The following is a 26,662-nucleotide window of genomic DNA, read 5'->3' on the forward strand; positions in this document are numbered from 1 at the left end:
GGTTTCTGTATTCCATGTGTGATACTAAAGTATATGGTGTGTGCCTCAGTTTCCCCTACTTTTCACAGGCTACACAAACAAAATAACTTTTACCTTGAAGGCACCATTCATCCATTCATTCCTTGTGCAAATATTTATTTAGCACTTACTATGTTGCAGAAGCCAGCATGGCTGCAGCAGAATGAGGGAGTGGAAGAAGAGATGAGAGCTGGGTACAAAGCATGAGGAGTAGAGGCCTGGTAAGGACTTTGCTTTTATGCTGAATGAAGTGGGGAGCTACCATAACTGTCATTGGACCTTCCTCCTGTGGCTATTCACTTGTATATTAAGTTCATTGATGGGATACATCAATGAACAAATCCATTTCCTGTCCATGGAGAACCTTTATTCTAGACCAGCGGTTGGCAAATATCTTGTAAAGGAACATAGAGAAAATCTTTTCAGCTTTGTAGCCATTTTTTGTTCTTTGTCACAACTCTGCTGCTGTTGATCCGAAACAGCCATTGATAACTGCAGCCATAGACGGATGGACCTGGTTGTGTTCCCGTAAAACTTAATATTAATAAATAACAGATGGTGGGCTGGATTTGGCTCAAGGCTGTAGTTTTCTGATCCCTGTTCTAGACAATAAACAATAAACCTAATAAAAAAGCAAATTATTAATATATAATAGCTAGAAGGTAAGTGATATGGAAAAGGAAAACATTGAGCAGGGAAAGGTGATTTGGAGTGCTGAGTGAATGAGGATGCAGTTTTAATTAGGAGGGAAAGTGGTACTTGAGCAAAGCCTTGAAGAAGGAGAGTGAGCCCTGGAGCTCTCTGAGGGGAGCAAGTGCAAGTTGTAAGCAGAGGGAACACCCAGGGCCAAGTTCCTCCTGCGGAGAAGGGCCTAGTGTGGGTGCAGAAGCCAGCATGGCTGCAGCAGAATGAGGGAGTGGAAGAAGAGATGAGAGCTGGGTACAAAGCATGAGGAGTAGAGGCCTGGTAAGGACTTTGCTTTTATGCCGAACGAAGTGGGGAGCTACCATAACTGTCATTGGACCTTCCTCCTGTGACTATTCACTTGTATATTAAGTTTCCTTTGCTTCCTTTGCTCTTTAGCTACCAACCATAAAAGTCACAGCACAGCTTGGAACCCACAGGATTGTAACCTCAGATGTAATGCTGCATGTTGAAATTTTTGGTTAATGGGCAGTCATTGCAATGATCTCAATATACTTTTACTAACAGCCTTAAGATAATCATAAAAATAAAAGTGTAAAAATGCTTAGAATTGGTCATTAAAAATTCATGGATTTCCCAGGAATATGTACATGGAGTCCTATTGGATCTGCATTGTGCCATAGTCAGCTTTTTTACATGTTGCTTTATATGGAATTCAGGTTGGTGATGGGTGGCATAGAGGAACATTATGAGACTAGGGCTAAATAGATGAATGCATTTAAGGAAAAATGAAGGTTAGTAATTAAAAATGATTAAGATTTATCTTCTCTGTATTCCACATTCTAGAGTCCTAGGAACGGATTCCTTGGAGGCTCTGTTGTCCCAGATGCCTTTGCACTGGAACATATTCAGCATGTACCTTTCTTCTCTCGTTCCTTGTCTTCTCTCACTCATCTATTAGATTCTTCTAAAAAGAGTTTCAGCCTCCAAAGATCCCATTATGATAGCTATTTAGTCAACACCAATGGAGGACACCATGATTGCTGGTATTGAATTCAGGGAAGGCAGAAACATGCTGTCAGGAGCCAGGTTTTCTGAAGCTAAAATACTGTTTCAGATACTTGCTTATGATGCACCATCATTTGCTTTTCCCTGTTATTTGCCTCTGTGTTAGGACTGTATGCTCTGAATGAAAGAGAACATAATTTCCTAGCCAGAAGTAGGTCCCTCTCTGGTCAGGGGTCTAAAGGTGTTCATTCTTTCATCCTTTTCTCTTCTTTTTGTCCTTGATGGTAAAGCCATTTGTTTACGAAGACTGCTATACAGTCTCCTTTTTCTGCACTACAGAAAGTTCTTTCATAGCTTTATGCTGAAGTGTTTTACTCATCTCTACTGCTTTCTTCTACTGCTACCCTTGTTCAGGCTTAATGTTATACTTCATTAAACAGAAGCACTTGCTCTAGGAAGAGTTTCCAAGTACAGCCTGCCCTGGAGGAGTATCTGACAGTGCCATCTTTGCTCATTCCTGTTTGTGTTTCCTAAAATGGCACTTGCTTCTTCAACTTCTGTTGGCTGTCACCCAGCCCCTCAGGACCCCTTCTGTCATGACTGTTCTTGGTAGTCTCCAATCTGAGACTCCAGATTCCTGGATGCTGCCTGACTGACTTCTGTTCCAAGTTTTTGGTGGACAAGATGGACTTCATTCAGTTATCAGACTGATTCCTGGTGTTCCCTTTTCCTTTTTTCTGGAGATAAAGGGTAAACCTCATTTTTTGGATATCATATCACTCACCTACACAGATTACATAAAGTTAATACTCTAAAAGGCAAAGTTTGTTTGTTTTAACTTCAACATAGTTTTGAATGTTGCTAAATATCAGAGAAATGTGGATCTCTTTCTGTATGTTCCCCCAAAATTCCTGCAATTTCCTATCTATCGAAAAAAAGCAGACCAGAGCTATTCAATTTAATGATTTAAATAAATAAAGTAATTTAAGCAGAAAATGAATATAGGCTTTTTTCCTTCTATTTTTCAAATGTATTTTGCAAAACACTGCAGAATTCCATGCTAGGTGCCACTGGCAACTCTGTGTTTGAAGATACTTGTGGTATTTAATTTTCTTGGATATTTCTTATCAATTTATTTCACACTCAAGTTGATTCAAGTGCAGTCCTCATAATTCCATTAACTTTGCGACTGTTCCCACATCAACTAGAAGGATGACATGTAATCACACAGGGCTCCTCTGAACCAGAATTTTCTTTTAATTTGCTTATCCCAATCTAAGATTGTTTTCTGCCTTTTTGAATCAGGGCAAATAAATTACAACTCATTCCCCAGCTCTATCTCAGGGGGTTATAATGTACCTCCCAACCACCCTACTCAGCTTTGCTGCATAATAACATTCAGCTGAACACCAGAATTGTGCAGTTTACTGAACAGCCTTCACTTGTCAGAGTTCAGATACGTAAAGGATCTATGTTACTCTGTGAGATTTGTGTTAATTTCATATTTGTCAGCAGTCTACAAAAACTGTGATGCTTTAAAAAAAAATCAGTCTTTATCACCTACAAGTGAATCCCAATATGACTATCAGCAGATTGCTCAGCAGAACCCCTTCTGGCCAAGAGAGAGTGGGATGTTATACTCAAAGTGCTGAGGGAATAAAATTATCAACCAAGAATACTTTACCTGACAAAACTGTCCTTCCCCAGACAAACAAAAGCCAAGAGATTTATCACTACTAGGCCTGCCTTACAAGAATTGCTAAAGGGAGTTCTTCAACTTGAAATAAATTGAAATTAAAATTAGTAACATAAAACATACAAAAATATAAAACTTGATGGTATAAGTAATATAAAGTCATATTCAAAATACATTAGGACTGCAATGGTGACATGTAAAGCAATTTTATCTCTAGTACGAGGCTTAAAAGAAAAATTATTAAAGCAATTGTGGATAAAACAAATTGTCAAGATACAGATTACAAAATGATGAAAGTTTTGATGTCAAAAGCATTTAAGGGGGACACTAAAAGTAGAGAGTTGTTGTAGGTAATCAAAGTTATGTTGTTATCAGCTTGAAATACCTGGTTATAAGATGTTTTATGTAAGTCTCACAAAGCAAAGATTTGTAGTAGATGCACAAAACATAAATTGAAAGATTCAAAGCATATCACTGTGGAAAACCATGAAACCACAAGGGAAGACAGCAGGAGAGAAAAAATGAAGCAAAGTATCTACAAAATAACCAGAAAACAAATTACAAATGACAGTAACAAGTCCTTACCTATCAATAATTACTTTGAATGTAAATAGATTAAAATCTCCAATAAAAAGACAGAGTGGCTGGTTGAATTTTAAAAACAAATTAAAAAGACTCAACTTTATGCTGCCTATAAGAGACTCATCTCACTTTTGAGGTGATATGTCCCTTGTTGAAAGGTGTTAGAGTCCCCTACTATTATAACATTGCAGTCTATCTCTTCCTTTAGATCCTTGAATATTTGCTTTGTATATTTAGGTGCTCCAATGTTAGAGCACCTAAATATAGACTGAACGTGAAGGGATGGAAAGAGATGGAAAGAAAAGGAGAACAGGAGTAGCTATATTTATATCAGTCAAAATAGACTTTATGTCAAAAACTATAAAAAGAGACAGAGAAGGGCATTATATAATGATAAAGGAGTCAATTCATCAAAAGGATATAACAATTATTAACACATATACAGTAAGTTTTCCCTTGATGTCATCAGTAGGTTCTTGGAAACTGAGGTTTTAAGTGAATATGTATAACCAAATCCATTTTACCATAGGCTAATTCATATAAGCAAGAGTTAAGTTCCTATGGCATATTTCTGGTCACAAAAACATCACCAAACTTCTAAACAAAGACCCCAAACACTTCTAATATTAAATACTGAAATAAATGTGAGCTACTATACATTTATGAAAGAGTAATAACAACAAGTAAGATAATTATTTATCAAATTTTTTGTGAATCAGTGTAGGATGTTAGTCATCACGGTGGTGGATTAAATCAAAGAATAATTGTTTACAAAGCAAAAATTACAAGGAATGCCTCCAACCAACATGCAGTTCAAAAATAATTACAGATATGACAGGATTGCAGAGTGCTTTCACACTGCATTGTTTATTCCTCTGCATTTGTATAATTATTGTATGCTTTGCGAATATTTATTTTACAATAATTTATATGTATTTATTTATTCATTTTCCAATGTGTTTATTCCAGTTAAGGGTCACAAATGGCCAGAGCCTATCCCAGCAGCCCAGGGCACAAGGTGGGAACCAACTGTGAACAGAACTCCATCACATTGCAAGGCATACTCACGCACACACACACCCAGACTCACTCACACTAAGACAGTTTAGACATGCCAGTTAACCTAATGTGCTCATCTCAGGATGTGGGAGGAAGTGAGAGCACTTGAAGAAAATCCACGTAGACATGGAGACAACATGCAAACTCTATGCAGACAGTGGCCCTAGCCCAAAATTGATATTTTTCTTATCAATGTTATCATGAAATGACTTTGAATGCAACATCACTATTCAAGGACCTGCTGTACACCCAACATTGGAGCACTGAAGGGGTGGCCTGCCCCTCCACACCTGTGGGAATATCTCATCAGGTGGGATGAGAGACTGAGAAAAGAAATAAGACACAGAGACAAAGTATAGAGAAAGAAAAGTGGGCCCAGGGGACTGGCACTTAGCATACCAAGGACCTGCACGGGCACCGGTCTCTGAGTTCCCTCAGTTTTTATTGATTATTATTTTCACTATCTCAGCAAGAAGAATGCGGTAGGAGAGCAGGGTGATAATAGGAAGAAGGTCAGCAAGAAAACATGTGAGCAAAAGAATCTGTGTCATAATTAAGTTTAAGGGGAGGCACTATGCCTGGATGTGCACATAGGCCAGATTTATATTTCTCTCTGCCCAAACATCTCAGTGGAGTAAAGAATAACAAGGCAGCATTGCTGCCAACATGTCTCGCCTCCCGCCATAGGGTGGTTTTTCTCCTATCTCAGAATTGAACAAATGTACAATTGGGTTTTATACTGAGACATTTAGTTCCCAGGGGCAGGCAGGAGACAGTGGCCTTCCTCTATCTCAACTGCAAGAGGCTTTCCTCTTTTACTAATCCACCTCAGCACAGACCCTGTATGGGTGTTGGGCTGGGGGACATTCAGGTCTTTCTCATCCCACGAGGCCATATTTCAAACTATCACATGGGGAGAAACCTTGGAAAATACCCAGCTTTCCAGGACAGAGGTCCCTGCGGCTTTCCGCAGTGCATTGTGCCCCTGGTTTATCGAGACTAGAGAATGGTGATGACTTTTACCAAGCATACTGCTTGTAAACATTTTGTTAACAAGGCATGTCCTGCACAGCCCTAGATCCCTTAAACCTTGATTTCATACAACACATGTTTTTGTGAGCTCAAAGTTGGAGCAAAGTGGCTGGGGCAAAGTTACAAATTAACAGCATCTCAGCAAAGCAATTGTTCAAGGTACAGGTCAAAATGGAATTTCTTATGTCTTCCCTTTCTACATAGACACAGTAACAGTCTGATCTCTCTTTCTTTGCCCTACAAGCACCTAAATATACAAAGCAAATATTAAAGGATCTGAAGGAAGAGATAGACTCAATATTATAATAGTATGGGACTCTAATACCCCACTACCAACAATGGATATATCATCTAGACAGAAAATTAATAGGACAATATTGGCCTTGATCTATAAAACATCAAATAGAACTAAAAGACACGTACAGAACATTTCATCTAACAGCATCGGAATACTCATTCTTCTCAAGCACACATGAAACATCCTCCAGGATAGGCATATGTTAGACCACAAAACAAATCTGAATAAATTTAAGAGGATTCAAATTGTATCAGATATCTTTTCTGATCACAGTAGTATCAAACTAGAAATCAATAACAGGAGAAATCTTGGAAAATTTACAAAGGAGTAAAAATTAAACAACATGCTCGTGAACAACCAATGAGTCAAAGAAGAAATCAAAAGGGAAATTTTTAAAATTTTTGAGACAAATTAAAATAGCAAAAACAACCTACAGGATGCAAAAACTTACAGGATGCATCAACAGGAATTCTAAGGAGAAATTTTTAGCAATAAGCACTTATGTCAAAAAAGAAGAAAGATCTCAAATAAACAACCTAATGTTATACCTCAAGGAACTAGAAAAAGAAGAACAAAGTACAAAGTTAGGAGAAGGAAGGAAATAACAAAAATCAAAGCAGAAATAAATGAAACAGAGACTAGAAAAACAATAGAAAAAAAAAACAATGAAACTACAGAGCTGTTTTTTGAAAAGATAAGCAAAAGCAAAAAGCCCTTAGCTAGGCTAAGAAGAAAAGAGAGAAGACTCAAATAAAATCAGAACTCAGAGAGGAGACATTACAACTGATACCGCAGAAACACAAAGGATTCTAAGAGATTACTATGAATCATTATATGCCAACAACTTGAATAACCCAGAAGAAACTGATACATTCCTGGAACTATACAATTACCAAGACGGAATTGTGAAGAAACAAAATCTGAACTGACCAGTAACGAGTAAAGAGACTGAGTTAGTAATAAAAACTTTCCCATCAAAAAAAAAAAAAGAGCCCAGAGCTTCACTGCTACTGCTGAATTCTGTCAAATATTTTTAAAAATAATACCAATCTTTCTTAAACCTTTCAAAAATTATGAGGAAAGCCATACATCTGATAAGAGGTGAACTCATTTTTTAAGGCCAGCCTTACCCTGATACCAAAGCCAGACAAGGATATTACAAGAAAAGAAAATTATAGACCAATATTCCTGATGAATACAGATGAAAAAATCCTCAATAAAATACCAGCAAACAATTCAACAGCACAGTGAAAGAATCACTCATGTAATCAAGTGGGATTTATTCCTGCGATGCAAGGATGGTTCCACATACACAAATCCATAAATGTGATGCACCACAGTGACAGAATGAAGGACAAACGCCATATGATCATCTCATTAGATGCAGAGAAAGCATTTGACAAATTTAACATTTTTTATAATGAAACTCTCTACAAATTAGATGTAGAAGAAATAATCTACTTTAGCACAATAGAGGCCGTATATGAAAAACCCACAGCTAACACTATACTAAAAGCTTTTCCTCTGAGATCAGGAACAAGATAAGAATGCCCACTCTAACCGCTTCTGTTCAACATTTTAGTGGAAGTACTACTAGCCAGAGCAATTAGACAAAAGAAAAAAATAAAGGTCATCCAGATAGGAAAAGAAGAAGTTAAATTGTCCCTGTTTGCAGATGACATGATCTTGTATGTATGTATAACTTTGACCACTCCACCCAAAAACTGTTAGAAGTAATAAATGCATATGGTAAAGTTACAGATTACAAAACTAATACACAAAAATCAGTAGCATTTCTATATACTAACAATGAACTATCTGAAAAAGAAATTAAGAAAAAATTCCATTTACGCTAACTAAAACAAAATAAAATGCATAGGAATAAATTTAAACAAAGAGGTGAAAGATCTGTACGTTGAAAACTATAAAGATCATTGAAAAAAATTATAAAAGGCACAAGTAAATGGAAAGGTATTCTGCATTCATGGATAAGAAGAATTAATATTGTTAAAATATCCATACTACCCAAAGCAATCTACAGATTCAATGCAATCCTTATCAAAATTTCAGTAACACTTTTCACAGAAATAGAAAAACAATCCTAAAATTAATATAGAATCACAAAAAATCCTGGAAGTCAAGATAATCTTGAACAAAAAGAACAAAGCTTGAATGGCCAAGTGTGGCTAGCTGGGTACAGTGGCTCATGCCTGTAATCCCAGCACTTTGGGAGGCCGAGGCGGGTGCATCACTTCAGGTCAGGAGTTCGAGACCAGCCTGGCCAACATGGTGAAACCCTGTCTCTACTAAAAATACAAAAGTTAGCCAGGTGCGGTGTGGTGTGCCCCTGTAATCCCAGTTACTTGAGAGGCTGAGACAGGAAAATCACTTGAACCCAGGAGGCGGAGTTTGCAGTGAGCCGATATTGTACTGCTGCACTCTAGCCTGGGCGACAGAGCAAGACTCTATATCAAAAAAAAAAAAAAAATGCAAGAACAAAACTGGAAGCATCACACTACTTGATTTCTAACTATCTTATAAAGCTATAGATATTAGAACAGTGTGATACTGGCATAAAAATAGACACATGGACTTATGGAACAGAATAGAGAGCTCAGAAATGAACCTATGCATTTTCAGTCAATTGATTTTCAACAAAGGTGCCAAGAACACACTATGGGGGAAAGGTCAGTCTCTTCAATAAAGGGTGTTGGGAAAACTGGATATCTACATGCAGAAGAATGAAATTGGACCCTCATCTCACACCTTATACAAAAATAAACTCAAAATGGATTAAAGATTTAAACATAAGACCTGAAACTGTAAAACTATAAGAAGAAGACATAGGGGAAAGCTACATTGCTCTGGGCAATGATGTTTTGAATTTGACTCCAAATGCTCCAGTACCAAAAGCAAAAATAAATAAACGGGATTACAACAAACTAAAAATTTTCTGCACCGCAAAGGAAACAATAAAGTGAGGACACAGTCTACAGATTGGGAGAAAATATTTATAAGCCATACATCTGATAAGGGGTGAATATCCAAATTATATAAGGAACCCAAAAGAACTCAATAGCAAGAAAACAAATAAATTAGAAATGGACAAAGAACTTGAATAGACATTTCTCCAAAAAAGACATACAAATGCCCAAGAGATATGTTTTAAAAAATGTTCCACATCACTAATCATTAGGGAAATGCAAATTAAAACCACAGTGAAATATCACATCACACCTGTCAAAGTGGCAATTATCAAAAAAATGAAACATAAGTGTTGGTGAGGATGTAGAGAAAAAGGAACCCTTGTGCACTGTTGATGGGAGTGTGAATTAGTACAGCCACTATGGAAAACAGCCATTATGGAAAACTGAAAAAGTTAAAAATAGAATTACCAGCAATCTCACTTCTGAATATGTAGCCTAAGGATTTGAAACCAGTATGTTGAAGAGCTATCTGCACTCTCACTTTCATTGTGTTATGGTTCACCATAACCAAATTATGGAATCAACCTAAGGATCCATCAATGGATTAATGGATAAAGAAAATGTAGTATATTATATATGCATGATGAGGTACTATTCAGTCTTTAAAAGGAAGGACATTCTGTCATTTGTGACAATGTAGATGAACGTGGAGGACAACATACTAAATGAAATAAGCCACACATGGAAAGACAAATACAATGTGACCTCATACTTCTGTGTGGAATTCAGCTCATAGATGAAGAGTAGAATGATGGTTACCAGAGGCTGGAGTGTTGTGAGGAGAGGAGCACATATATCATTGTGCCACAAAACTTTTGGATAATTTGATGAATGTATTTCAATGCAATTGATTTCTTTTGTAATCCCATGTGCTTGATGTTAGGAGTTTACAAATACTATAGTCTATTTATAGATTTCACTAGTCTGCCAAGTAGTCTGTGGTACAAAGAATTTAAGAAGCCCCGGTCTAAGGTTTGTGCCTTTGTTCGCTTACACCACTAACACCACTCCAGGAGGAAGGGGGAGGCAGATGGCAGGCAGTATAGCTCAGAGGGCACACGTGTGGGCTCTGGAGTCTTCCTGGATTTGAATTCTTGTCCCAAACAGTTACTGGCTCTGTTATTAACTTGGGCAATTCATTTAACCCCATTAAACATCATTCCTTAATCTGCGTGTCTTAGTAACAGTAGTCCATACCTTATTGGGTGACCAATAAGAATTATACAAAATAACGTGTCCAGTACAATCAGTTCTCATTTGCAGTAGTTATGCTCCACAAAGTTACCATGAAGAGCGAATTAGTGAATACTGAACAGTTTCTTTTTAAGCTGCCAACACCAAAGCTAGGGTTGGAGTGCCAGAAAACTCAATGATCAAAAGAAATAATAATTCTCATTATTCAAGTGGTGATGTTCTATAAAGTCATCATGAACACTGAATTAAGGAATACTGAAGCATTGCTCCTGGGAAAAAGACAAGGTTAGGTTCCTGTGAGCTTCTGGTCACATTTTCATCAACTGACCAAATATAATTTTCTTTGATGTGTGTTTCTGTTTAAAGACACCTTGCAGCCGGGCGCAGTGGCTCATGCATGTAGTCCCAGCACTTTGGGAGGCTGAGGCGGGTGGATCACGAGGTCAGGAGATCGAAACCATCCTGGCTAACACTGTGAAACCCCGTCTCTACTAAAAAATACAAAAAATTAGCCTGGCACAGTGGCGGGTGCCTGTAGTCCCAGCTACTCGGGAGGCTGAGGCAGGAGAATGGCATGAACCCATGAGGCGGAGCTTGCAGTGAGCCGAGATCGCACCACTGTACTCCAGCCTGGGAGACAGAGCGAGACTTTGTCTCAGAAAAAAAAAAAAAAAAAAAGACACCTTGCTTAGTATTGGTGCAAAAGTAATTGCTGTTTTTGCCATTACTTTCAATGGCAAAAACCGTGATTACTTTTGCACCAAGCAAATATATGGTTGATTGATTAACATTGAACCCCTAGCCAACAGAACTACAACTCATGTCTCAAGGAAGCTTCTCTAAGGCACATCAGAGCCTCCCTGTGCTTAGGAATAGGAGACAGCATTTCACCACTCAATTTGGGGGGTGTTTTAAACAGCAAAGTCACTGAAAAAAAAAACTCCACAAAAATGAAAATCGTGACACTCAGTAGATCTAGAAAAGGGCACTTGTTTACAATATGGGAGATGAAACAAGAAGGCAGAGGCCTTCTTTGGCTTCAGCTGGAAAAATACGTGTCAGGCAACTCTCTGCACATGTCCACAAATGTCTGTGAAAACGCCGTGAATATTGATCTGGGGATAGACATAAATTTTAGCAAGTAGGTGAACTTGCAAATACAGAATCCGTGAATAATGAGGATCCACTGTATCTAACATAATAATTTCTGGAAAATGGTCAGTTCTTATTATTCTCATTACTTTATGCCCTAGAAGAAAGGCAATGATGGGCAAGGACACAGCCCTGCCCCACCTCCTCCATTCAGCTGGCTCTGAGGAATGTACAGCCAGGAATACAGGAAACAGTAGGGGAAGAGCATGTCCCCCGATTTCTCTTTGCTGATTGTCCCCCAATTTTCCTTCTATATGTTCTCCTGCTTCTCCTTCCTTTTTTCCCTCCTTCCACACTTCTTAGCATGTGCAAGAGCCTAGCTTAGTACAGTAATGGATAAAAAGACCACAGGACATCGCCTCTTCCTTCAAGGGACTGCAGCACTGGGAAGACAAACATTTATATCACAAAATGCCAGACACCATGTAACCTCATGAACACACTGCTGAATCCAATCAGAGGTGTCTAGATCCATTCTATTAACCTCCCTTCCTGTGCTTGATAAACATAACAAACACTGATTCAAGCATCTCTGCCAAAAATTCATTTCAATTGACTTTTCCTTGACTCAGAACCCATCTTGGCAACATGGTCCAGGGTGTCATTTGGGAAGTTCTCTAATTTTCCTATACATTTGTTTAAGCATCTATTTTCTTTCGCTCTAATATAATTTTTTGGTTGGGTGTGCGCACTGAGTACATGCTGCCTTTCTGGAGACGAATTAATTGCGTGTTATGACTTGCATTGATAATTCAAGAAATAGCAGCTAGAGGTTTGAAGATAGAAGAGCAATGCTACCTTTGGCCAGGCACATGTCCCAACCTGACCAGGTGGAAGCAGATTGACTTGGCCCAGAGGATGTGCCCAGCACATGTCTGCCAGAACCAGAGTCTAAAATGCAGAGAAGTGTATTCCAGCCAAGTCTAAGAGGAGACTTTCTGACAGCTCCTGCTGCCCTCTGAGGTAGTGAACTCACTATCACTAGGGTCTTCTGCCTGGTTGAGATGATCACATGTCAGGAAGCATGTCTCTCCTGAACCTTGAGTTGCAGGCTGGAAGGGGTGAGGTCTGAGGTCACTCCCTATATTAGTCTGGTTCTCCAGAAAACAGTAACAAAACCAACAGGGTGTGTATGTGCATGTATATGTGTGTGTGTAATGAGAGAGAGAGACAGAGACAGAAACAGAGAGAAATTTACTTTAAGGAACTGGCTCACCAATTGTGGAGGCTGGCAAATTCAAAAGTCCAGCGGGCTGGAAGCTCAAGAAAGAGTCGATGTTGCAGCTTGAGTCTGAAGGCCATCTGGAGGCAGAATTCTCTCTTCCTTTGGGGACCTCAGGGGTTTTTTTCCTCAAGGCCTTCAACTGATTAGATGAGGCCCACCTACATTTTGGAAATCAATCTGCTTTCCTCAACATCCACAGATTTAAGTTTTAGTCACATCCAAAAAAATAGCTTCACAGCAACATCTAGACTGGTGTTTGACCAAAAAACTGGGTTCCCCAGCCCAGTTAAATGTTCACATAGGCTCAACCATCCAACAGGGCCCCTCCCTAGGTGTCTTCAGACTCAACATCTCTGGCGCAGTACATGTAATTAAAATTCAAGTCTCAGAAATAACACACATTTCCACTGTATTTAGCGTGTAAGGTCCCTTGCTATGTTGCCTAGTTAACATTACAAATGTGAAATTTGTCATTCTAAGAGTGAGGTTGTTACTCAGTTGACACATTCTGAAGGTTCACTCAAGGGCAAGTTGAGTTGCAATGTGGCCTGATAACTGTTGATCCAGGAGGTGCTCCAGCAAGAAAAATACATGTTTAGCAAGGAGAGAATGAGTTAGACAACAGGGTTGAAAATGAGACTCTATGTTACTAGGGCATCCCAAAGCCATGTGGGTAAGCTGCACGCCATTCCATCCCACACAAAAAAAAAAATTGAAACAATGGTTTTGATAGAGTGTCTACCTTATTGTTATATTGGGGTTATTTCATTGTATTGTAGTTTTAGTCATTCTGACCTAATTTTTAGCATTTTTTGTTTCTGTTGGTTTATTGGCTTTCAAATATTTCATGTGCCTCTATAGTTCTCATTTGTTTGCCCTTGGATGAACTTCTTAAGAGGACATATTTCTGTCATAACAAAATTATTATCTTTGTACTTAGAAATGTAGATAAAAACATAGACAGAGGCAGGCTATTATTATAAAGTCCTTGTTCTTCCTGACATTAAAAATCTAATATGCAGGAAACACACTACCTTTTATTTCTTTTTTCTTTTTTCTTCTTCCTCTCTGTCCCTCCCCCTTTTTTTGAAAATTATGATTTTTCTAGATACTAAACTGGCAGTGGGATAAATTAGGTTGCTTAAAGTTTGCTTAAATTGAAATTACTCTTTTGAAGTTTGGTCCTTCTATTTCAATGACTCCTATGAACATTAACTTGAGAAGATTGTAATTGGAAGCAATTCTTTCAGTGCTACAGAATTTGTGTGTGTGTGTGAATTACTATTTTTTTCTTCTGAATACAATAAGAGCCTGAGATTTTAGGCTGGAAAATGGCTTCAAAATCACAGATCTCTAGCAGCCATTCCTCTCCTAGCCCTGAGAATTTTCTCCAGTGTTCCTAGGCTTGTCCTTACACTGAACAAAGGCATTTCTCAGTTCATTCTTTAAAGATACTATTTAGCAAATGGTCCAGAGCATTCAATTGCTACTTTGAGATGCTCGAAATGCAAAATTGATGTGGGGAATGCACAGCTGGTTCTCAGAAGGCCGCATAAAGGCATAGCTGCGGAGATTTTAGATTTTGGAAAGAACTTCTATCCAGCCTTTTCTTTTTCAAGGGAAGTTGAGGCTCAGGAAGCCCCCATGATGCATCAGACCACCTACCCTAAAAGGCAGAACAGATCTTGCACACGTCTTTGATGCCAAGACAGAGCTTGTGACCCTAGGAGACATTGCCCCGCCCCCAGCAGGCTCCAGACCTTGCACAACCAGGTCACTGCTGAGGCTAGCAAATTGGTACAGGTTGGTGCTCTGGAAAAATGTGGTCTTGAAGCTGGGCAGTAATGGAAGGAAGGCAGTGGGGGAAACCAAAGGGATTTTGATATTGTGTTCTAACATAGACCCAGCATCCTCATGCTCCCTCATCATCAGAAACCCGAAGACCCCAATCAATGTCATATCATCATCCCTTCTTTGAAATGAGAAAGCTGGAAAGTTTTCCCAATGGCCCTACCATTTAAAATATTTTATCAACCAACTGGACTTATTAAATGATTACTCATTGCTTCATTGTTTGTTCATCAAAGCCATGCATAACCACATGTGATAATCAGGCCTGATTGTATTAATATCACCTAGGATCACCATTACATCACCCAAATGATATAACCCAGCCAAAGGCAGACAGCCAATGTTGAAATTAGACCATGTTGTGTATTAGGCTGTTGAAACTTGGGAAAGAGCTTAAGGACTTTCACATTGCCTTTGGGAACCTGTAGGGTCTGCAACCTCCCTTTCCTTACCACTGGCTTTACTATTCCACGCACACCATTCAGGTTTTTATTCTTGGTTAATTTCCCCCCATCTTAGGACCACCTATAATGTTCATTTTTTTCAAGCTTTTATCTACCAAAAATATTTTCAAAGGATGGAGCAGTGACACGTACTGTGACTAGCCTGAGATTTGTACAGTCCCAAGAGTGTATTGTGCCCAGCTTCCCACCCATGAGATCACTCTGGTGAATGCAGACCTTGGTTGTTATGTTGAATACATCTGTCAGTTCCAAGCTTGGGCATTTCTGAAAAGCAAGTCCAGGGATGATAGTGTTCATTATTCTCAAAAAGGTCAAAGGAGAGCATAAAATAATTTACAGGCAAGATATTTAGTTAATACATTTATTAATACAGGGTCTTCTTCCTGGTTGAGATGATCACATGTCAGGAAGCATGATTCCCCTGAACCGTTGAGTTGCAGGCTGGAAGGCTAAGGTCCGGGGTCACTCCCTGTATTAGTCTGGGTTCTCCAGAAAACATAAACAAAACCAACAGGTTGTGTATGTGCATGTATATGCATGTGTGTAATAAGAGAGAGAAACAGAGAGATAAATTTACTTTAAGGAACTGGCTCTCCAATTGTGGAGGCTGGCAAGTTCAAAAGTACAGCGGGCTGGAGGCTCAAGAAAGAGTCAACGCTGCAGCTTGAGTCTGAAGGCCATATGGAGGCAGAATTCCCTCTTCCTTTGGGGACCTCACAGGTTTTTTTCCTCAAGGCCTTCAACTGATTAGAGGAGGCCCACCCACATTATGGAATGCAGTCTGCTTTATTCAACATCCACAGATTTAAGTGTTAGTCACATCTAGAAAATATCTTCACAGGGACCTCTAGACTGGTGTTTGACCAAACAACTTGGTTCTCTAGCCCAGCCAAGTGTTCATGTAGGTTCAATGATCCAACAGGGCCCCTCCCTAGGAGTCTTTAGATTCAACATCTCTGGCTCAGTACATGTAATTAAAATTTAAGTCTCAGAAAAAAAGGCATATTTCTACTGTATACAGCATGTTCCACTGTATTGAGCCTTGCCACGTTGGCTATTCTTATTAATATTAATACTAATACTAATAAGATATATTTAGTGAGTTTTCCATGCTATGCCAATCCTGCCTCTGACCAGTTTCTTTCTTAGAAGCTGAAAACACTGTCCCTGCACAGAGGTGGTTCAGTCTATTAGAGGTGTCAAACAAATGAACACTAGTACAGCAGTACAGTAAGGGGCTGTGGGATCACAGAACAGGGACTAACATCTAGGCTTGGAGGGAAATCAAAGAAGTTTCCCCAGAAAAAGAGGTACCTGAGCTAAGGTTTGAACACATGAGGAATTATTTCAGTATGGGAGAGGGATGGAGGAGGAGTGGAGGTTACAAGACTCGCAGCCCATGGAGGAAGAAAAAGGGAGAAGACCCAGGGCACACCCATTGCCATCTTGATTTCTAATACCTGCCCCAATAAGTGAACCAGGGCATTAGTCCTTGGAGAAACAGCTGATTTTAGAGCTGAGGAAGAAATATACAGATAAGCCTGGAGTATCTTGCTGCACCAGAAAGTAAGGAAGTACTCAAACAAAACAAAGCATTGATGAGGGTATGTCGTGGTGTACAGGAGCCAACTGAAAGGGCTCCCAGTGGCCGAAGCTGGAACAATTTGAACAACAAAATAAAGAGAGTAGTATTTGATTATATGTATGAAATAAATATGCATGAGTACATACTGATGTAAAAAATAAGTGAATAAATTAAGAAATGGGGGAGAGGAGACAAATCTCCTTTGCAGTACAAGTACAAATAACTTAGATAGACACTCCACTCTCAAGGAAGTGGAGCTGTGCATGGTGACTTCTTTCCAAAGAGTAGTGTACGGAAGGGATGTTAGTTGGAATTGTAACTTAACAGTGGAGAAACCTGGGCAATCACCGCCTCAGGCAAGTCATCAGGGTCCACATCATGCTGGTAAGTCACGCTGATAATATGCACCCTTGACACGATGTGATGAAATGCCACTTTACCTCCATGGTCTTCTTCCCCGAGCCCAATAACGCCAATCTAGTTCTGAAAAAAAAAAAATACAGAAAGCCCAGTTGAAAGCCATTCTATAAAATTCCTGACCAATACTTCTCAACACTGTTAAGGCCCTTGAAACCAAAGAAAATCTGAGAAACTGTCTCAGCCAAGTGGAACCTAAGGAGTCCTAATGACTAAATGTAATACCATATCCTGGAAGGGATCCTCAAACAGAAAAAGGGCATTAGGTAAGGACAATCTGAATAATGTATGGACATGAATTAATACTAATGTATTTAATTGATTCACCACTTGTGACAAATGCATGCATCAAAGTAATGTAAGATCTTCACAGTTGGGGGAAACTAGATGAGGGGTATATAGGAACCCTTTATGCTATCTTTTCAATTTTTCTATAAATCAAAACTATTCTAAAAATAAACGCTTCTGATAAAAAAAAAAAGCACTAGGCATTAGAGGAACTGAAGATAATTCAGTTTGGCTGGAGCAGAGAGAGTGAAGTGAGAAGTGGTGAGGGAAGATGCTGAGAACAGGAGTGGGACCAGGCCAGACAGCCTTTGTGCCAAGCTCGGGGCTTCAAACTTCACCCAGTGGAGGTGTTTGGAAGCCATGGGAAAGTTCTGAGGAGAGCAGTGACATGATTAGTATCTTAGTCTGTTTTCTATTCCCTGAAACTGGGCAGTTTATAAAGAAAACAAATTTCTTTCTTACAGTTATGGAGGCTCAGAAGTCCAAGGTGGAGTGACTGCATCTGATGAAAGCCCTTTTGCTGTTGGGGACTCTGCTGAGTCACCAGGTCCCCACGTGAAGGACACCACATGATGAAGGAGCTGGGTGTGCATGTTCATATTCCTCTGCCTCTTCTTATAAAGCCCTGCTCCTGTGATAACCCATGATCCACTAACTCATTGATCCATTAATCCATCAGTGGATTATTTCCTTCATGAGCAACGAACCCTCGTGACCCCATCACCTCTTAAAGGCCCCACCTCTCAATACTGCCACATTGGGGATTTAGTTTCTTTTTTTCTTTCCAACTGTTATTTTAGGTTTGGGGTTACATGTGCAGGTTTGTTACATGGGTAAATTGAGTGTCATTGAGGTTTGCTCTACAAATGATTCCATCACCCAGGTAGTGAGCATACTACCTGATAGGTAATTTTCTAATCCTTACCCTGTCCCACCCTCCCTCTTCTTGTAGTCCCCAGTGTCTATTGTTGCCATCTTTATGATCGTGTACACTCAGTTTTTAGCTTCCCGTTATAAGGAGAACATGTGGTATTTGATTTTCCACTCCTGGATTAATTCACTTAGGATAATGGCCTCCGGCCACATTCATGTTGGTGCAAAGTACATGATTTTGTTCTTTTTTTGGCTGTGTAGTACTCCATGGTGTGTATGTACCACATTTTCTTTATCCAGTCCACCACTGATGGGCATCTAGGTTGATTCCATGTCTTTGTTATTGTAAATAGTGCTGCAAGGAACTTATAAGTGCATATGTCCTTTTGGCAGAATGATTTATTTTCCTTTGGGTATATACCCAGTAATGGGATTGCTGGGTTGAATGGTAATTCTGTTTTAAGTTCTTTGAGAAATCTCCAAACTGCTTCTCACAGTGACTGAACTAGTTTACATTTTCATCATCAGTATATAAGCATAGCCTTTTCTTGGCAAGCTCACCAATGTCTGTTGTTTTTTGACATTTTAATAAAACCCATTCTGACTGGTTTGAGATGGTGTCTCATTGTAGTTTTGATTTGCATTGCTCTAATGAATAATGATGTTGAGCATTTTTTCATATATTTGTTGGCCAGATGTATTTCTTCTTTTGGGAAGTGTCTGTTCACGTCCTTTGCCTATTTTTTAATGGGATTATTTGGGTTTTGCTTGTTGATTTAAGTTTCTGATAGATTCTGGATGTTAGACCTTTGTAGGGTGCCATTTGTAAATATTTTCTCCATTCTGTAGGTCGTCTGTTTACTCTGTTGATAGTTTCTTTTGCTGTGCTGAAGCTCTTTAGTTTAATTAGTTCCCAATTGTCAATTTTTGTTTTGTTGCTTTTGGGAACTTAACCATAAATTATTTGCCAAATTGATGTCCAGAATGGTAGTTCCTGGGTTTTCTTCAAGGATTTTTATAGTTTTAGGTCTTACATTTTAAGTCGTTAATTAATCGTGAGTTAATTTGAGGTGAAAGGTAGTGGTCCACTTTCATTCTTTTGCATTTGGATAGCCAGTTATCCCAGCACCATTTATTGAATAGGGAGCCCTTTCCCCATTATGTACTGTTGACTTTATCAAAGATCAGATGGTTGTAGGTGTAGGGCTTTATTTCTGGGCTCTCTATTCTGCAATTGGTCTATGTGTCTATTTTTGTACCAGTACCATGCTGTTTTGGTTTTTGGTAGCCCTATAGTATAGTTTTAAGTAGGGTAGTGTGATGCCTGCAGCTTTGTTGTGTTTGCTTAGAATTGTTTTGGCTATTTGGGCTCTTCTTTGGTTCAGTATGAATTTTAGAATAGTTTTTTATAGTTCTGTAAGGAACAAAGGTTGATAAATTACTGGTATGTTAAATGGCAATGTTTTGTTAAGGAAGCTGTTCTGCTTTACATATCTGAAAACTACTTAGAAAGTGTCTGCATTTCCTAACTTCAGAAGCTACAGTCTTTTTAAAGACAAAGGCCTTTATACAGTTTAGTGCTCAGTGTCCTTAGCACAAGAAAACAATTTAGTTCTGAAGGTAGGTTGGCAACTCTTAAACTAAACAAGAATAGGGGCTTTGAAAAATAAGCGTTTAAGAAGGCTTGTTAGCCAGGTGTGGTGGCTTACACCTATAATCCCCATATTCTGGGAGGCTAAGGTGAGAGGATCACTTGAGACCAGGAGTTCAAGCCCAGCCTGGGCGACAGAGCAAGACCTTGGCTCCAAAAAAAAAAAGAGCTTGTCGTTTTAGAGTCTAAACTCTTACACCTTAAAATTACTGCTTGGTTCAAAATGGTTTTATGGGAAAATTAAATCTGTACCAAAAACTTGGCATTGAGTATGAAGGTGCCACCATTTTCTCAGCAAAGTGTACAAAGGCTCCCTAACATCAAGTTCAATTCCCACAAGGATGACAAAAGTGTTTGGAAAGTAGTGGTGCCACACTTTAGGATACCACTTTGCACCAGCAGTTTCAAATGATGTGGGACTCCCAAGGGAAAAGCAAATTAAGAGCACGTCTGTGTGCAGATAGGATAGGGGGCATAGTTTCTTGTCCAGTTGTATTCCATAAGCCCAGATACACTGATTTTCCAAGTACCATAACATTGGCAGAACAGTTGTCAAAGACAGTGAGGATATAGTCTCCAGGAAATGAGTTGGTTGTATAACCAGTCAATAGGCAAGTTTTACCTGCAGCTCTGTCTCCCACCACCACACGCTTGATGGCCTGCATCTGGGCTGCTCACTGGGCCACAGAGGGCAGTGGCAGCTGGGTGCTGAGATGGGAAGCTGTGGACTTGGGGCACGGCAGACAGGCAGGCAGCTTGCAGTGGAGTGTGGGGCACCAGGGCCGCTGTCCGTGCCACCTCACCATCCACAGACTGGAAACTGAAGCCTGGCAGTGGCCACCACCCGCAGCTGAGGAAAACTGCCTGGAGATTAAGTTTCGACTTGAGTTTTGGAGGGGACACACATTCAAACCACAGCGATTAACTTTCAATTTCAGTCCATTCGGTAGTGGTTTAAAGAATGGAGAGTGGGGTCTTAGACTCGCAATAGGTAGGCTAGAAGGCTGTTCTCTGATCTAAGCAAGACAAAAACGAGGGCCTAAACTAAGCTGGTCACAGATAGTAGAAAGAAAGGGACAGATGTGAATGATAGTGAGAAAATAAAATTGATAAAAATTGGTGACCAGTTGTTTGGATGAAGAGAGGGTAATTTTGTTTGTTTATTCCCTGTATTCCTTCATTTAGTAAAAATTCACTGGGAGCCTGCGCCAGTTTAGCACTGGGTATTTAGCAGGGAACACAATGAACCATTTCCACACTCTCAGAGCTTTCATTCTAAGGAGGGGAGATGGATGATAAAGGAATAAGCCCGTGTAAAAGCGAGGTAATTTCAGCTGGTGATAGCAACCATGTTGAGTAAGCAGTATTGATCAAAGGGGAAATTCAGGAGGGGAATCGATCGCACAGGAGTAAAGTATCAAATTTGGCCAGTAAGTAGAAGGAATTAAGTTAATAAATTCGGGTAAAACTATATAGGCCAGCTAGATCTTATGGAAAAAGCCATGGAAAGGAGAGAAAGCAGGCCAACCTGCAGACTGAAGTGTGTTCTTCTGACTGCAAGTTAGTGTTAGAAGGAACATGGTAGGAACCCTGAGACCTACAAGCAGAGGGTCTTGGTCAAGGCTCCAGGGCCCATCTTCCACCTCTGTTTGCACTGGCTGTGCCCCCGATCCAGCTTCTGATCCTCAGATAAAACAGGTGAAGTAAGCTGTAATTAGAGGTGGAGCCACTGTGTGGTCTACGTAGCTCTACCATTAGGTGATGATCTGGGGTAAAGTTGGGAAATGTTTCATGGATTTGAGCCTGTGAGGTTAAAAGAGTTTCTGGGTGCTGTCGTGCTCCTGGGCTGTGGTCCAGTTGGTGATGAGCACCTGAATGCCCGCATGGCCTCACACATCTACTCACCAGCATCCCTGTCGGAAGAGACCCAAGGACTGGGTGAAAGAGGATGTTTGCTGTCCTGGTGTTCTGTGGAGGTAGGCTGGAGACTGGGGCAAGCATAGCTCCCTGTCCATACCATCACCAAAGAACTGGGATTTTGTTTTAAGAAAAGAAAGTCGTAAGAATGTTTATGTGTTGACGGGAAAGAAACACAATACTAATACAGAGCAAGAGAGACTCTCTATAGAAAAGAGAGGTAACTGGCAAAGCTACAGGAGGTGGGATTCAGACTACAGGTGTAGAAAGTGGCATCTCTTCCTATAACAGTGCCTGCAGGTTCACACCAGGTCACCTCAATTTCCTCTGAGGTGGGAGGAGTTTGCTGAGAGAGAGGTGGGCAGGCTAGAATCAGGAGCTTAAGTAGCATGGTGATGGTTTGGACAAGCTGCCATAGAGGGTGAGAGAGGAAATGTTTAGAAGCAAGCACGATGATTTCCGTGGGGAGCTGAAGACACAGCTAAAACTTGAATGAACTCAGGCATGAGGGACTTAAATGGAAATATTGGAAGCATCTTACTTTTTATGATACATTGCTCCTGAAAATTTACTTATAAATAACATTTTGACAAATTCTGTTTCTTTCATTCGAAAAACATCGGTCATTTTCTGCCCAGTGAGCTTGGGGCTGGGTGATAACATCGATTAAGAAACCAGACTCCAGGGCTCTTCATCTACAGGAGAAACAGATAGGCAATAGACCCATGCCTCTGGGGTAGAGGCAACAGAGAGACGATGTAGACACCGGGTCTTGTGGCTGGGAGTGGGGTCAGCAAAGGTGATAATTAAATTGGCAGCTAAAGCAATTCATCAAATGGAGGAGCATTCCCGCAGATGGCACAGGCTGTGAGACACAGGAACGTGAAAGGCCTCTACAAAGTGTTGAAGGATCTTGCTATTGAGGAGCAGTCAATGGTGACGGGTCTTACATGGCATTTGGATGTGGCAGGTGGAGACATGTGGCTCATCTCACCTGAAGCAACTGCTCTGAATCCAGGTGCCCTAGAACCATGATACTGGCCTTCCAGAAAGCTAGATGTGGTTTGGGGAGACTACATTTACTGACAGAAGGAACCCACATTTCTTTATTTTAATGGAAAGAATGCAGCAATTGAGACCAATCTGAAAAGAAAAAGTCATTGGTTTCTTCCTATTTTCCACCCTTTCCCAACTGTTTCCCTGTGTTGTACCACTCTTTAAAAGTTTCGATTCTGGGCTGAACATGGTAGCACATGCCTATGGTGCTGGCTACTTGAGAAGCAGAGGCAGGAGGATCGCTTGAACCCAGGAGGTCAAGACTGCTGTGAGCCGTGATCATGCCACTGCACTCCAGCCTGGGCAATAGAGAGAGACTCTGTCTCAAATAATAATAATAATTAAAAGTTAAAAAAATAAGGATTTGATTCTGTACAGAATTTCTTCTTGTATCTCTTTCTTTCCATTGCCTCAGAATTAGTTTTTCTGCCATGCTTCTTGGCCAAAGAGACGTTAGGTTCCTAAAGACTAATAATATTCAAATAATGTTCAAATTATATTCAATCACTTAAATTAAATATGTATAATTAAATGTAGCACTCAGCTCTAATAATCATTATTCTTCTGAAATATGATTCACTCAGACAGAATACACTATTCCCAATATTATCTTTCACATAAATTATTATACTTAATTAGTATAACCAAACCCAGTTTCCCACAGAAACGGTGACCCTTCCACTCCTACCTACGGCCACCACTTGGCTTCATCCTATGGATTAGCCTTCCACAGTGCTGTCTGTGCTGCTCACTGTTAGTTTGGATCTAGAGGAATAATGAACCTGTTTGCTGGGGATTTATGGCATCATTAGAGATCACCAGAGAAGAAGAATATGCCCACAGGTGCTCACAGCTCATTCAGTACAGAGGACTGTCCTGGCTCTGAGTCTAACTAGAGACCCCAGTACCAGAGACTAGGAGAAGGGCTGACTGCTTCTGGGTCAACTTTGAATATGCAAAACTCTTTTCATTGATTAGGGCCAGTTGATTATTTTACATTCCCCTGAGAAAGCACAGTTATAAAGCGTTAACTCCTCCAAGGCTCATTCATCCATTGTACGGGATTAAATACCTAACTTAGAGGGCAGGCACAAAAATAGGAGGAGATTAGGTTGGATAGCATGAAATTGCTGATATTTGATTACTTTTTGACCTACAAAAACAAGTGTTTTTGTATATCATCTAATATATCAACATGATGTGAATTCATGTTACAATTATACAGTTATAACACCTATAACATCATGTATCAATCCATAGATTTCTTGCATTTCAAGAGGGAAGATTGGGATAAACCAAGAGAAAAGATGATTCTAACAGTTACTCTCCTAATCGACATTGCTTGTGAAGTCTGTGCCACTTTTAGGTCTCAGCTCAAATGGAGAACAAGGCAGACTAAATCTTATTATTCTGCCAGTTTTCTGCTTACATGGAGGGAAATGGATTAAATCAGGGTTGTTGCTTTCTCAGCCTGTTACCATCATTCATGTCAGGGGAGGCAGGAAGAGAGAAGAAAAGCCAAGACTTATAGAAGAGTTTGCTGGGAATTTACACCATTTGCACCTGAAAGATCCACAACCAAGTGGCCTCTTGTGCCAGTCCCCTCTCTTGCTCCAGATGAGCTCTTTCTGACAAGCGCACCCACTTTCTGGGTGCAGATGGTCTTTCCAATAGGATTCCACTCACGTTCTCAATCATTCAGCAAAAACCCACTGTGTTCAAAGGACCATATTGTGGGTTTCATTGTTTCTCTGGAGATGATAAGTTAGCCCTAGACCCTATCACCTATGTGTGAACTCAAAAAGGACCTGGTCCCCTCTACACCTGTTGGACCTCATTTTCAATTCCAGGCTGCGTATCAATGAAGGAGCACATGGCTACTGATGCCATAGAATGGTAACTTGGCAGAGTCACAGCTACTAGCTGCCATAATGAGCCTTGTATTGCTCCAGCATTAACATTCCTGCTCTATCCAAGATAATCCATTTGCCATGTTCTGAGTGTAACTCCTTTTTGGGGGGGCATGGGGGACAAGGCCTCACTCTGTCACCCAGGCTGGAGTGCAGTGGCGTGATCATAGCTCACTGCAACCTCAAACTCCTGGCCTCAACCCATCCCCCTGCCTTGGCCTCCCATTTCATTGGTATTACAGGTGCGAGCCACTGCCCCCAGTCCAACTCCTCTTCTTTGACCTGTAGATTCTACACTAGTCATATCCTGAAATTGGCTTTTGTCACAACTGTGTCCATTTCAAGGTCTCCTGCCTGTTATTCAGGTGCGTTTCTTAACTCCTAGACCCACCTTGGACACCAAACATTATCTTTACCAACACTGTCTAGACACAGCCTGGAACCATTTCCTTGCTTCTTAAAATTTATGTATTATGGACAAATACATGAATCAAATAGTTTTATAAGATGTGTAGACAAAAACAACAGCCCACTGCACCCCTCCAACCCATCCATTTTCCCATTCCTGAAGGCAACCTGTTTTAGTTTTTCAGTTGACCTCGTTGGTGTTTAATTCCATATTTCTGAATAGCATGTTTGCATTGATACTTCGTGATTGTTCTGCTCTCGGCATTCTCTATTGACTTCGTACTATAAAAAAATAAGAGTTGAGCTATCTTTTCTCTCTGTGTTCGTATGATCCCCAAGCACCCTTCCCAGCCATCTAGTCTCCAGTTCATTTATATCATTATTTTTAAATATACTCATCATGTTTATATTATTATAAGTCAAATTCACCATTGAACTTGTGGTAAATTATTATTGCTATTCTTTCATGAGCAACCTTTCATCATTTTCTTAGATTCTTTTTATATTTTTTTCTTTTAAAAAAAAATTCAATAGGTTTTTGGAGAGCAGGTGGTGTTTGGTAACATGAACAAGTTCTTTAGTGGTGATCTCTGTGATTTTGATGCACCCATCACCCAAGCAGTGTACACAGAGTACAGTTTTATTCCTCACCTCCCTTCCACACTTCCCCCCGATCCCCAAAGTCCCTTGTATTATTCTTATGCCTTTATGTCCTCATAGATTAGCTCCCAATTACAAGTGAGAATATACAATGTTTGGTTTTCCATTCCTGGGTTACTTCACTTAGAATAATGGTCTCCAATTCCATCCAAGTTGCTGCAAATGCCATTATTTCATTCCTTTTTGTGGCTGAGTTATTTTTTGTGGTGGAATATTCCATGGTATAAGTATACCACATTTTCTTTATCCACTCATTGATTCATGGGCATTTGTTCCATATTTTTGCAGTTGCAAGTTGTGCTGCTATAAACGTGTGTGCAAGTGTCTTTTTTCATATAATGACTTCTTTTCCTCTGGGTAGCTACCCAGTAGTGGGATTGCTGGATCAAATGGTAGATCGACTTTTATTTCTTTAAGGAATCCCCATACTGTTTTCCATAGTAGTTATACTAGTTTATATTCCCACGAACAGTGTAAAAGTGTTCCCTTTTCACCACATTCATGCCAATATCTTTTTTTTTTTAATTATGGCCATTCTTGCAGGAGTAAGATGATATCCCATTGTGGCTTTGATTTGCGTTTCCCTGATAATTAGTGATGTTGAGCATTTTCCCTTATGTTTGTTGGCCATTTGTATATTTTCTTTTGAGAATTGTCTATACATGTCCTTAGCCCACTTTTTGAGG

The 26,662-nt window shown here is 39.9% G+C and overlaps 1 protein-coding gene and 1 pseudogene across 1 annotated transcript in view, besides 1 other annotated feature; one reads left to right on the forward strand and one right to left on the reverse strand.

Moving 5' to 3' along the window:
• SLC35F3 (solute carrier family 35 member F3) overlaps window positions 1–26,662 on the forward strand; it is a 419,836-nt gene that overhangs the window by 101,862 nt on the left and 291,312 nt on the right. The gene's annotated exons all lie outside the window — the stretch shown is intronic.
• Window positions 17,070–18,269: an enhancer, noted in NCBI's record as "CDK7 strongly-dependent group 2 enhancer chr1:234159353-234160552 (GRCh37/hg19 assembly coordinates)". NCBI's record gives its function as "activates an origin of replication core promoter dependent on BRD2, BRD4, P300/CBP, MED14 and CDK7 cofactors, with strong dependence on CDK7, by STARR-seq in HCT116 cells {active_cell/tissue: HCT116}" and the evidence as "EXISTENCE:reporter gene assay evidence [ECO:0000049][PMID:35650434]".
• RAC1P7 (Rac family small GTPase 1 pseudogene 7) lies at window positions 20,336–20,690 on the reverse strand (annotated as a pseudogene).

This window comes from Homo sapiens, chromosome 1 (genome assembly GCF_000001405.40).
Source record: "Homo sapiens chromosome 1, GRCh38.p14 Primary Assembly".
Classification (NCBI taxonomy): domain Eukaryota; kingdom Metazoa; phylum Chordata; class Mammalia; order Primates; family Hominidae; genus Homo; species Homo sapiens.